The sequence below is a fragment of the Homo sapiens genome, chromosome 3, assembly GCF_000001405.40.
Source record: "Homo sapiens chromosome 3, GRCh38.p14 Primary Assembly".
NCBI lineage: Eukaryota > Metazoa > Chordata > Mammalia > Primates > Hominidae > Homo > Homo sapiens.
Window position 1 is genome coordinate 132,545,538 of NC_000003.12, and position 13,889 is coordinate 132,559,426.

A 13,889-nucleotide genomic window follows, 5' to 3' on the forward strand; every position below is an offset into this window, starting at 1 on the left:
AACCGTCTCTTGGGGTCTGGATCAGGACCTCTTTCCAGTAACACCAACGCCACCGAGTGCCAGCCCAATAAATGAAAGTCAACCCTTACAAATACACATAATTGTGAAATTTTACCATATGAAAACAAAAAGATCCTATAACCCTCCAGGGTGTGGCAGGAGAAGAGGGAACCATTTCTTAGAAAGGAACAAGAATAAGAATAGCACTGGATTGCTCAATAACACTGAAAGAAAACAAGGGAGTGATGCCTTCAAAAATCTCAACCCAGGGTTCTACATCCAGTGAAACTACTGATTGAGGGGACAGAATTAAGACAAGGTCTCAAATTTACCTCCCATTAATTCTTTTGTAAGAAGCTCCAGAAAGATGTTCTGTACTAAAGCAGGGGGTACCCAAAAAAGTGTGGGGGCCAAGATGTAAACTTGCCTGTCACCCTCTGAAGGTTCACTGAAAATCAGCTGACATAAGGCAGATGAATAGGAGAGAAAGCATACAAATTTATTAACGTGTACCTGTGGTCCCAGCTACTCGGGAAGCTGAGGTGGAGGATCACTTGAGCCTGCAGTTTGAGGCTGCAGTTTGAGCTATGATCATGCCACTCTACTCCAGCCTGGGCAACAGGCAAGAATTGGTCTAAAAGAAAAAAAAAAAAAAAAAACAGACTTTACAGGGTATGTCAAAGAAGTATATTTGGGGGTGAAATACTTTGGTTTTCTTCAAAAGAATGGTGGAATTCTTCAAATGATATTGAAAAGCCATTTCAAATTAAGACAACAGGTTGCAGCTAACTTAGACAACTACCCATCCAGACTTGAACAGGTTAGAGGCTCTGGGAACAAATTCTTCAAGAAGATGAAATTGATAGGCAATATATGTATTTGAACATATTGAGAGAAAAGAAATTGATGTATCTGGGAGAAGAGTTTGGAATAGCTGGGCAACAAAATAATCATAGCACATCTTCTAAACTGAGAAATCAATAGATGACTAGACTACATATGACAGTAATGTTTCATCAAGGTCAAATTCTCGTGTCATTATTGTTAGGTGACATACTATCTGCAGCTAACTCAGTTCAGAAACAGGAGAGAGAAAGCAAGTGTGAATCTAGATAAGGATATACAGGTGTTCACTATATTCTTCCTCTAACTGAAGATTTAAGTAAAATAAACCATTGAGAGGTGAGAGTATTATAACTGTATTATTTCAAGACATGGAAGTAGATCTCCATGCTTATCAGTTAGCTTAAATTGTTTTGTTTATTTATTTAATTTTGAGGTGGGGTCTCATTATGTTATGCAGACTAGGCTCAAGCAATTCTTCCACCTCAGCCTCCAGAGTAGCTGGGACTGTTACCAGAAAAGGGGTTTTGTCCCAGGGCCCAAGAGTGGGTTCTCAGATCTCGCATGGGAAAGAATTCAGGGCCAGTCACATAGTAAAGTTAAAATAGTTTATTAGAAACTACTCTGTGACAGAGTAGGGTGTCCTCAGAAAGCAAGACGAAGAATGCGCCTACCTTAACCCATTTATGCCTCAGGTTGCAATTTTTTGAATTTTTGCAATCAGACCTTGGTGATGACCTTGAGCAGTAGGATATAAATAACTCTCGCATGCTTAGCGTTCCAATAATGGAACATTAGGTATAAATGGATTTAAACAAGAATGCTTGCTTATATAGGAATATTAGGCCTATAGTGCAGTTTATTATAAAGGCTTGTGACAGGCTGTTAGTATGGTTATTCTCTTGTGTAACTTCTGATCTTGGCAAGAATTTATGAGTGTACTATTATCTTTAGAGGAAAACATATTTTTTAAACTAAGAATGCCTTTTTCCACTAACTTGTTTCCTCAACCATAAACATCTTGTGATTAAGAGTGCCTAACTTCCTGGGAATATAATGCATCAGGTCTTGCTTTATCCAGCCTTTATTCAAGATAGAGTCACTCTGGTTGGGATGCCTCTGACAGAGCTATAGGGGCCCAGCTATACTAAATGTTTTTAAGTCGTTGCTCATGGGAATGAGAAATTAGCATGTTGGGATGGTGAGAGGAAGAACCACTGATGATTTTCATAACTAGCTTTGGACAGTAATTTGATGGTTGAACTCTGAAATATATATCTTTGATTAAAAATAAAAACTAAACTATAAAAAAAATTAAGGAGAAATTAAAAATCAGTAAAACCGAAACAAAAATTAGCAGCTTTTGTACATGCAATGCAAACAATGTGTGGTAAATATAATAGAAAAAAAGGCAACATTAAATTGGTTAAAAAAAAATTCAGAAACAATTTTTTTTTAACCAATTGAATGTTGCCTTTCCAAAACTACCTATGGCCTGCCTCACCTCCATCCTGTGCCTATAAAGACCCCAGACTCAGTTGGTAGAGGAGAGAGAGGTGGCTTGATTTTAGTGAGGTGGCTTCACTTCAGTGAGGCAGCTTGACATCAGAGAGACAGCCTGACTTCAGAGAAGAGCTGGCCAGACTTTGGGGAAGAGATGCTGGATTTCAGGGGAAGACTACCTGCCCATCCCATCCCCTCTTCAGCTCCCCCTCTCTGCTGAGAGCCATTTCCATCTCTCTTAATAAAATTGTCTGCCTTCACCATCCTTCAAGTGTTCATGCAACTTCATTCTTCTTGGACACTGGACAAGAGCTTGGGACCCACCAAACTGCAGGGACCCACAAAAAGTCTGTCACACCAATGGAGGAAGTAGACTGCCAAGGTCAACAGGTTTATGTTGATCAGCCTGAGAACCAGCAGCCATGACCACATGTGTAAGCAGGCTGTGAAAGGAGCTCATTTGCTCCTCTGGGGGAAGGGGAGCTTACTTTTCCGCACAGGGACCATCCACATCTGATGAGCAGGCCATCCCTCCAGCCTTACGTCATGGCTGAGTTCCTTAACAGCAGAAAGTTCGTTTGGCCTTTTTGTGGACAGAGATGGGAGTTACAATGGTCTAAACTGAATGAAATGCAGCAAGTAAGCCCTTCCGGGACCATTTCCCCTGAAGCCAAAAACCTTATTATGAACAATTTTCCAGAGGGTAGCTTGGGAAAGAATAATGATTACCAGTTTGATTTTTTTTTTTTTTTTGAGACAGGATCTCACTCCTGTCACCTAGGCTGGAGTGCAGTGACGTGATCACAGCTCACTGCAGCCTTGACTTCCCAGGCTCAGGTGATCCTCCCACTGCAGCCTCCTGAGTAGCTGGGACTACAGGCATGTGCCACCACAACTGGCTAATTTTTTATATTTTTAGTAGATATAGGGTTTCACCATGTTGTCCAGGCTGGTCTTGAACTCCTGGGCTCAAGCAATCTGCCTGCCTCAGCCTCCTAAAGTGCTGGGATTACAGGTGTGAGCCACTGCACCCAGCCCGGTTTTGAATTTTATAAAAAATGTTTTCTCCATTTCCCATGACAAGTTCATTCTGAATCCCACTGAATTGGGAAGAGTCTTTGGCTCATAAATCAACTATGTAATCTCAAGAGATTTGAATTCACACACACTTCAATTCCTATGTATTGCTATGCATTGGAGACAACCTTTTTTGGCAGTCAGAAAACCTAAACACCTTGCACAAATACCAATTTTCCTTCAAATGATCTTTAGCAATATCTGTATTACAGGATCTTTGGTAAACTAGAAGCTCTTAGCAATTCCTTTTCATGCTAGGTTTGAATTTTATTTTTTTTGTTTAATACATGAGATGGACTAGAGTCAACTTTGCCCTTGCCGGTGGAGGGCAGCCACCCCATGCAAGGAGGCAAGGGGCCAACTGAGCTGTTAATACACAGCCGTCCATGGACAGCAGAACTAAAGGAGCATTGTTATACCCACTCTGGGGCCTCAAGGTCGCAGGCAGCCCCCTACAACCTGGGCACCGCTGCACGGAGCTTTCTCCCGCTGGTGTCTGGAGTGACCAGCTGGGTCCTGCACTCACTCACTTGCACCTGGTCTGGCTGTAGGCCCCACCTAGAGCTTGTTCCTAGGTCAGCGCCCGGAGTGGCCAGTCAGATCCTGCACTTGCTCACTCACATGATCCTTCCTGCAAGGGGTTGAGCATGGTGAGTGGAGTAAACGTTCACCCTTGTCACAAGTTCAATGAAGGGGCCGAGAAAAATTATGCACTATTGCCATGCCAGTGCTATGAGCATTGTACTTGACTCTCACATCTCTCTTACCACACTACTTCTAATTTACTGTATTCTATTACTTCTACATCTTCAATATCTCTAACAATCTATGTCTGGTACACCTACTGTCATGTGGGCCTCTAACATGTCTTCCATGGGTCAATGCAACAGGATCCTGACTGGTCTTCCTGCTTCTGATATAGGCTGAATCCAACCCCTTCTTCATGGAGTAGTATTTCTACTGCCCATCAGTGATTCCACTGCTCTTAGGACCAAGTCCAATGCCTCATCTTGGATTGTGAGGCCCTTTGTGATCTGGCCCCTTCTTTGTCTGGCATCATCTCTCCATAACAGGAAACAGTAACCTTTACCAATTGACATTAAGAAAGCCACAGGTTGTGTCTGAGTCTGTACTGTGTGGGCTAGTTTCCAAAATTATGATGAGTAATTTCAGTTTCAGGCCAGTCTTCCCTGACCTCAAAATATTTCCAGAAGGCCAGCTTCTCAGCCATTTGGGGCTGTGGGACTGGAGTTCCCAAATAAAGAGAAATGCCACCTATTGTATTTTCCTACTTCTTGCTTCTAGGCTCTTTTGTTGAAGTTGCTTCAGACTCATCATGCACACTGTCCTCAGTGGCAATGGCTCTTAAATAAAACAGAATTTGCCAGTGTTTCTCTTTTGTTTTCTATGTAAAAACCAGCTTATTTTCTCAAGGTTTTGTGGTTGACAAAAATCCTGCCCTATCTAGTAGGAAAGGGTGGGGTTATTAGATTAAGTAAGTTGTCAGTTGAATGAACTATCTGCTCCTTAGGACAAGGACACTAGGGACCTTGTCACCTGTGCATCCTCCACAGGCATCTGTAAGGACTCCTTGAATTGTTCAGAATTGCATGTGTTCTCTGTCTCCTCTGAAATTAATCTGGTGTTCTTTCAAGTCAAATTGATCTAGTGTTGTGTTGCTTCGACTAGATATAAATAAGAAATCCTATTGATTTGATACACTCTGAAGTGTTTGGAGAGCAAAGACACCACTGAACAGGAAGGAAGTATTTTAAGCCCCTCAGCCTACGTGCTCCACATCTGGGAAAATATTACACTGTGAGTGGCTGTTTCTTCCTCATTTCTTATCTTCTAGATGTTGTTTGTCTCAAACTTTGCCAGCAAAAGGAAAGTTAAAAATAGAATAAAGAAAATTCCCTTAGCATGTGAAGATCACAACATATTATGGATTTGCCCACTAAATTATTTATTCCTTTAAGATTAAATTAGTCCAGCTGTCTTAGAGGGCTGGAAGAAGACCTCTTGCAGAAAGGTTTCTACTGGATTTAGAATTTAGAATCTGACTTCAACCAGTGGAGGAGGTAAACTGCCAAGGTCAACAGATCTGTGTTGATCAGCCTGAGAACCAGCAGCCATGACCACATGTGAGAGCAGGCTGTGAAAGGAGCTCATTTGCTCCTCTCAAGAAGGGGAGGTTACTCTTCCACACAGGGGCCATCCACATCTGATGAGCGGGCTATCCCTCCATCCTTACATCATGGCTGAGTTCCTTAATAATAGAAAGTTTGTTTGGCATTTTGTGGACAGAGATGGGGATTATGATGGTCTAAACTGAATGAAATGCAGCAAGTAAGCCCTTTCAGGACCATTTCCCCCAAAGCCAAAAAGCGTATTCTGAACAATTTTCCAGAGGGTAGCTTGGGAAAGAATAATGATTACCATTTTGAATTTTTTCTTTTTTTTGGAGACAGGATCTCACTCTTTTTGCCCAGGCTGGAGTGCAGTGATGTGATCACATGTGGCTCACTGCAGCCTCGACTTCCAAGGCTCAGGTGATCCTCCCACCACAGCCTCCTGAGTAGGTGGGACTACAGGCATGTGTCACCACAACTGGCTAATTTTTTGTGTTTTTAACAGCTACGGGGTTTCACCATGTTGCACAGGCTGGTCTTGAACTCTTGGGCTCAAGCGATCTGCCTGTGTCAGCCTCCTGAAGTGCTGGGATTACAGCTGTGAGCCATTGTGCCCAGTCCAGTTTTGAATTTTATAAAAAATGTTTTCTCCATTTCTCACAACAAGATCATTCTGAATCCCACTGAGCTGGGAAGAGTCTTTGGCTCATAAATCAACTGTGTAATCTTAAGAGATTTGAGTTCACATACACTTCAATTCCTATGTATTGCTATATATTGGAGCCAACCTTTTTTGGCAGTCAGAAAACCTAACCAGCCTGCACAAATAACAATTTTCCCTCAGATTATCTTCATTTTTATTTATTTATTTATTTTTAGATGGAGTCTCACTCTGTTGCCGGGCTGGAGTGCAGTGGCACGATCTTGGCTCACTGCAACCTCCGCCTCCTGGGTTCAAACGATTCTCCTGCCTCAGCCTCCCGAGTAGCTGGGATTACAATATCACAGGATTGTTGGTAAACTAGAAACACTTAGCAATTCCTTTTCATGCTAGGTTTTTTCTTTCCTTAAATACAGGAGATGGACTACAGTCAACTTTTTCCTTCACCAAACAAGATATATAAAATCACTATTGTGAATGGAAAATAAATTTTGGGACCCCCAAATCACTAAGCCAAAAGGGAAAGTCAAGCTGAGACTTTTGCTTAGTGCAAACCTGCTTCCCATTCTATTCCTTAAAAAGATAGCTACTAAGACAAAAAAGCTATGTACCTCCCTCACAATTTGTCCACAGGAAAATTCCTTGTGGACAAAGGACAGACAGAATTCAAAGTCTTCCCTCTGCTCATTGAGATAAGTGCATATCTGATTGCTTACTTTGGAAAGGCTAACCAGAAACTCAAAAGAACGCAACCATTTGTTTCTTATCTATTTATAACCTGGAAGCCCCCTCCCCGCTTCAAGTTGTCCCACCTTTCCGGACTGAACCAATGTACATCTTACATATATTGATTGATATCTCATGTCCCCCTAAAATGTATAAAACCAAACTGTGCCCCAACCACCTTGGGCACATGTCGTCAGGACCTCCCGAGGCTGTGTCACAGGCATGTCCTTAACCTTGGCAAAAGACAAAACAAAACAAAACTTTCTAAATTGACTGAGACTTGTCTCAGGTATTTGGGGTTCACACTATGCTCCCTTAATTATCATAGTGGACAATTGTTTGGGGCTGCTCAGCATCCATCTCTATTTCTAATAATGTCCCAAGTCTTTTTCTCCCCACTGAGTGTGAGTTTGGTGAGAGGGTGACCTCTGAAACTGTGAGGACCAAGGGGCTACAGCTGAGTGGCCCAATACAGTAGCCACTAGCCACACATGACTACTGAGCACTGAAATCGGGCTAATGTGATTGAATTTTTTTAAAAAAATTATTTATTTTGAGAAAAAGTCTGGCTCTGTCACCCAGGCCAGAGTGCAGTGGCACTATCTCAGCTCACTGCAACCTCTGCCGCCTGGGCTCAGGTGATGCTCCCACTGCAGCCTCCTGAGTAGCTGGGACTATAGGCGTGCACAACCACACCCGGCTAATTTTTGTATTTTTTGTAGAGATGGGGTTTGGCCATGTTGCCCAGGCTGGTCTCAAATTCCTAGGCTCAGGTGATCCGCCCACCTCGGCCTCCCAAAGTGCCGGGATTATAGGCGTGAGCCACTGCACCTGGCCCTGAATTTTTCATTTAACTTTAAATGAATTAAATTTAAAAACTGAGTTTAGTTTTTTGAAAACTGTGAAGTATGTTTAGAACAAGTTGGGCATGTGAACCTACTTTTTTAACTGTACATTTTATGAAGCTTACTTATATACAGTTAACTTTTGGAAGATCAAGTATTTCCACTGAAACTTTAGCTTCCAAGTTGAAATGTGCTATAAAATATATTGGGATTTTGGGGAAAAAGTGTAAAATAGCTTACTGATAATTTTTCCTATATTGATTACATGTAGAAATGATAATATTTGGATATATTAGGTTAAATAAAATTAATTTCATGTGTTTTTAATGTGACACTGTAAAATTTTAAATTACATACATACCTTATATTTCTATTGGTAGCACTGGAAGCACTCTCCTCTTCCTGCACAGCACAGAGGGCAGGCCTGCAGACTGAGCTTTGTCAACCATGTGCACCTCAGAGCCAAAGCAAGGCAAGGGCAGAGAGATCTGGTGGACAAGGTCAGATGGAGATCACCAATGCAGGGGTGTCTCTCTCATCGGCCAGGTCAGGCTGCTCTGGTCCCAGCTGCAAAGACCTGCTTCCTTCTCTGCCTGTGTCTTGGCGGGATATTCCAGAATTCCGTAGTCTTCCCTTCCCACACTAATGCAACAGATTTCTTTTTGCTCACATTAGCCAGTCTTTTCCTAGTGTTTGCAGCCAAGAACGCTGACATAATCAAGACTTGTCAGGAAGCGAGGCTCTCTCTTCCCTGACCATCAATTCACTAGAATCCCAGGTGAACCTCGTTATTACTAAATAATCACCAGGGCTGGGGCTGAGGCAGCTGTAGCTATAGCAAGCTGCTCAGGTGATTCTGATGCTCAGCCAGGGTAAGAACCACTGCTTTAAGTTTTTTGTTTTTTGTTTTTTTTGAGACAGTCTCACTCTGTCACCCAGGCTAGAGTGCAGTGACGCAATCTCGGCTCACTGCAACCTCTGCCTCCTGGGTTCAAGTGATTCTCCTGCCTCAGTCTCCTGAGTAGCTGGGACTACAGGCGCCCGCCACTACACCGGCTAATTTTTGTATTTTTAGTAGAGACGGGGGTTTCGCCATGTTGGCTAGGCTGGTCTCAAACTCCTGACCTCAGGTGATCCACCCACTTTGGCCTCCCATAGTGCTGGGATTACAGGCATGAGCCACCGCACCCGGCCCTAAGTTTTCTTTTTAAGTGTCTGCATGGCAAGTGAGGGAACATGAGCCTATGCTACTACACTTCTCACATGGAGGTTAATCAAACATCCTGCGTTCCCTGCCCTTCTGCAGCTGGCATGCATTCACGCATTCAACAAATATTTATTGAGGACCTATTGTGCATGCTCCGGGCATTGCTCCAGCTTCTAGGGATGCGGCAGCGAGCAAAACAGACAAGAACCCTTCTCTGCTAAAACATACTTTCTAGCAGGGGGAGAGGAAGAGATAATATGCAAAAGAAAAGAGAAAAATACATAGTATGTCACACGATGAAAAGTTCTAAGAAGAAAACCAAAGCAGGGAAAAAGAGCGTTGTGTGTGTGTGTTGGGAGGGTATAGAAATTTAGATGGGATGGTTACAGAAGGAATCCCTGGGAGGTTACATTTGCAGGAAAGGAGCAAGCCTTGAGGACATGCAGTGGGGGGAGAGTTTTCTAGGCAAACAGAAAGGCAAGTGCAAAGACCCTGAAGTAGGAATATATCTGGGATACTGGAGGAACAGCAGAAGGCCAATGTGTTGTGTGGAGAGAGTAAGGAAACAGAGCAGTAGAAACTGAAGTCAGAGAGGTAAGGGTGCTGGAGGGAGGGGGTGTCTGCACCCACTTAAGAAAATGAGACAAAAGGCTCCTCATCGAGGTGATTAGCCATCAGATGAAGGAAGACTGGGGAAAATACCTTCTGGAGATCCTATCCAAGCAACTGCTCTCCATTTCACCTGTACTTATTTAGGGTGTCCTAGGAGTGATGCACCTCTCCAGGATAAACTGTTACACTTTACTTGGCCACATAATTTGGGGGTGAAGGTAAGGCAGAGAGAAACCCTTGTTTCACAGAGCTTATGCTAACTACACTCTCACACTAGAATGGGCGTGGGTTTTCTTCACAATAAACTCATAATCACCACAATGAGAAAGAGGTGCTGAAAAGAAAAAGAAATAAAAATATCACGGCAGGATCATAAATCCTAAGTGCTCTTTGTCTGTCTTGAATTAGGGAGGACACTTCCCAGAATCCTGCTTCTTTGGAAAATTGGAAAATTCCAACAATCACCAGAAGTGGTTTTGTTTCTTTTAGGCATCCTGACTTCCCTCTGTACCTAGAGCTGATCACAGCCCTCCAGCTGATTAGACTAGATTAGACATCAGGAGAAAAAAATGAAATGCGTATTTCCCTGGATTGTTAAATACTCATTAAACACCTGTTCCATCAACTGACTTGCCCAAACTGCTGTGCACCCCCACTGCCAGGACACTGATGTCCTTTCTCAGGCTTAGGTTTTCTCCAGCTACCCATAACCCCTTCTTGTTGTCCAGCCTCTGTGTTGACCGGCTGGGGCTCAGGCTTTGGCTCTGTTCTGTTGGCAGACCTATACATGAATGCTTTGCTCACTCACCGCTTGCTGTGCTGCAAACCAGGGATCAGGAGAGCATCCATGCACACTCATTCATTCATTCATATGCTTTGTGAGTGGCTACTGGATGTAAGGCATGGTTCTAGGGGCCAAGGAGACACCAGTACACACACACAAAAGTGAGAGAAGTGAACAGAGGAGGGAAAAATGGGCCTTGCACTTGAGAAGGCAGACCACAAATAAACATGAAATATGTCAGGTGATAAGTGCTGTGGGAAAACAAAGGCAGATAAGCAGGTGGAGAATAACAATGCACGTGGTGCTAATTTTTTTCTTTTGAGATGGAGTCTCGCTCTGTCACCCATGCTGAAGTGCAGTGGTGCAATCTTGGCTCACTGCAACCTCTGCCTCCTGGGTTCAAGCGGTTCTCCTGCCTCAGCCTCCTGAGCAGCTAGGATTACAGGCATCCACCACCATGCCCAGCTAATTTTTGTATTTTTAGTAGAGACGGGGTTTCACCATGTTGGCCAGGCTGATCTCGAACTCCTAACCTCAGGTCATCCACCTGCCTCGGCCTCCCAAAGTGTGGGATTACAGGCATGAGCCACCACGCCCAGTCATGGTGCTAGTTTCAAGCAATGGTCAAGAAAGGACATTTTAATAATGTGCCTTTTGACCTAGACATCTGGAAAACCTCAGTGTAGATCCTTTCAGGCAGAGAAAACAGTCTGAACCACGGCCCAGAGGCATGGCTGTGCTCGCATGTTGGAACAGCAGCCAGAAGGCTATGCTGGAGCGAGTGAGCCAGGGGGATGAGATCAGAGAAGTGTCAGAGGACAAGATCAGATGGAACCTCGTCAGCCAAAGCAAGGACTCTGAATTTATTCTAGGTGAGATGGAAGCCACCGCAGCATTTGAGGTCATCCTGGCTGCTGTGAGAATAGATTAGAATTCCAGTTAAGAGACTACTGGAGTAATCCAGGCAAAATAAATGGTGGAGTAAGACATGTGACAGACAAACAGCAGCCTGTCAACAGGAGGTCTTCCCCCCTCCCCTTTCCTCTGCTCCTTGGGGAGGGATCATCTAGTGTCAGAGAAAGGGAGGAGCCAAGCGGGGCTGCCTGGCTTGACTGAAATAAGACATTTTTCATAGCAGACATTTTCATAAATACACTGCACTTTATATCCTTTATTTAAGAATGTTACGAATTTAAAGCCCTTAGAAAGCCTAAGTAAAAAATGCCTGCCTTCTGAACTTCCCCGACACTGTGTTGTAGCTTCACTCAAGATCAAGGAGAAAAGCAGTTTTGGGCAAGCCCTGCCCAATGTATCCATTAAAGTATCTAAACTGCTTTTCACCTACTTTATTTCCCTTGGACAAAATGTGTGCATGCCCATGACACCTAAGTGAACCACAGTTGTATGGAAACAGCTGGGGTGATCAGGACCCACCCTGAAGAAGCTTTTATCAATAACCACAGGTTGATGAGGAAATCAGTCCTCCATAATCCGCTGAACTTTCTGTTGTGTGTTCTTATAGTTAAAAAGGTCAGTTACCAGAGACCCTTAACTAGCTCATCCCCTGGACAATCATAGCTACCCCCTGTGCACCCTAAATGTTTTGCTGGAGAAAGACCATGACCAGTCTAGGGAGCCTCATGGTGTCTTCCCTATCCGGCAGTCTCAAGGCCCCCTCCTCGAGGCTCTGTCGCTGACCGCCTGGCAATCTTGGAGGGGTTTTCATGGGTAGAGCCCTGGCTGGTGAGCTCTCTCCTCCCCGCTCCCTCCCTGCCATCTGATTATTAGAAAGGGCAGTTTCTCTCTTTAAAACCATGTGGTTTCAAGCACATGGCAAACCTAGCAGACTGTCCCAGATGAACGGCTGCCTAGTGACTCCCAGTGACAGCCTAAGGAGACAGAACCCTAGAAATGGCCACAATGCTGAGGAGTTTACCGTTGGTCCATTCTCTCACCAGGACTGGGGCCCTGATCCTGAAACTGATCTTCTCACTTTATCCTTTGGAGACTTTTTTCCTTTTCAAAACAATCCTTGGTGTTCTTTTTAACATAATTTTATCTGACTAAATTCAGGGAAGGGAGAGAGGTAAGTATAGATCATATGGAGTGACTTGCCTTAGGGATGGCCAGATACATGACAATAGATTAACTAAAACAAATCAGCAACCAATCCAGCCAGCTTTCCTCAGACAGAGAAACAAATTACAAAATTGTAAGGACCAGATATAGCCTTTAATTCCTAATGTTCAAAAACAATCCTGTCTTCTAAATCACAACTTTTCGAGTTACAAGATTTATCCACTTCAAATAAGGATACCTTTTATAAAGTACTTTCTTGTGGTTTTACAGATTTCAAGGTGCTTCTACGTGGCTTCAGCAATTCTCACAACAAACCCTCAGTGGGTCAGGGTCTTCTAAGATTAAAATGTTAACACCAATGCGTGTGAAGTACAGTGAAGTACAGTGAGGTTAAGGCTCAGTGGCAAACGTTAAAGAGGCCCACACAACACACCAGGGATCAGAGCCAGGTCAAATTCTTGCTCCCCACCTCCACCCCACCTCAAGAAGAAATTTATTTTTTGTTTTTATTTTTAGAAACAGTCTCACTCGGTCACCCAGGCTGGAGGCCATGTCACGATCACAGCTTACTGTAACCTCAAACTCCTAGACTCAAGCAATCCTCCTGCCTCAGCCTCCCAAGTAGCTAGGACTACAAGCATGTGCCACCACACTTGTTTCATTTTTAAATTTTTTGTAGCAATGGGGGTCTCGCTATGTTGCCCAGGCTGGTCCTGAACTCCTGGCCTCAAGGAGGCACTAGATTGAATGACAACAGCTACAGCATTTCTTACTGAACTTAACCCTGTGTGACCCTTGAAATAATAAAACCCACTGATCAAAATAGATGCTATAATCTTTACCACAAATGAATAATTAACCCTGTGCTCAAACTGCTACAAAAATATGAGATTCAAATGTTGGAGCCAATGAAGTTTGTATAAAGGAGAGTTTCTGCCAGTGGGATGTGGCAGTGCCACCCTCCTTATATCTTGGCTGTCAGTCTTTTGGCTTGGTCCCGCAGCTCCATTGTTGCGATTGCTGAAAGATGAACTTCGTCAGGTCCATCTGCTAAACGCAAAACTCGGGTTATAGCATACCTGAAAAAGCAAAAGAATCAGGGAACACAGGGAGTTATGGAAGAGGAACATGATACTTTGACATCAGTCACTCTGATTGTCAACCAAGACTATATTAATTCTTAAATTCCACCAAGGTCAGGGTAAGAAAAAGGGTACCAGGAAAATAAGCTAAAGGGCTTCTGCAATGCCATCTTAAAGTTTCCAACTTGGGAAAGTTAAATGCCAAAGTACAGTGGAGTTCATCTCATTCTTGGTTTGCTACAGTTTACTACATGTTGCTAGAACTTAGAACAGGCAGTGACTGGTATGATACTATATATTTAGTTCTTTCTTAAGGTTTAAAATTGATGAAGGATGAG

General features: G+C 43.4%; 1 protein-coding gene and 2 long non-coding RNA genes across 6 annotated transcripts in view; 1 reads left to right on the forward strand and 2 right to left on the reverse strand.

Moving 5' to 3' along the window:
- Positions 1-601: 601 nt before the first annotated feature.
- Positions 602-8,119, forward strand: LOC124909436 (uncharacterized). The gene is made up of 2 exons (XR_007096094.1): positions 602-5,241; positions 6,435-8,119. It is a non-coding gene; the product is annotated as an uncharacterized LOC124909436 (long non-coding RNA).
- The window catches only part of NPHP3-ACAD11 (NPHP3-ACAD11 readthrough (NMD candidate)), a 164,322-nt gene continuing 163,033 nt past the window's right edge, over positions 12,601-13,889 (reverse strand). Inside the window, exon 45 of the long non-coding RNA NR_037804.1 lies at positions 12,601-13,548. This is a non-coding gene — a long non-coding RNA (NPHP3-ACAD11 readthrough (NMD candidate)). The remainder of the gene's footprint in view (positions 13,549-13,889) is intronic.
- The window catches only part of ACAD11 (acyl-CoA dehydrogenase family member 11), a 101,669-nt gene continuing 100,383 nt past the window's right edge, over positions 12,604-13,889 (reverse strand). For all 4 annotated transcript variants that reach the window (NR_132428.2, NR_132427.2, NR_132426.2 and 1 more), the window contains one exon: positions 12,604-13,548. Coding sequence is in view for 1 of the 4 variants with exons in the window: in NM_032169.5 (NP_115545.3) it covers positions 13,434-13,548 (115 nt within the window). In the remaining 3 variants the exon portion in view is untranslated. The remainder of the gene's footprint in view (positions 13,549-13,889) is intronic.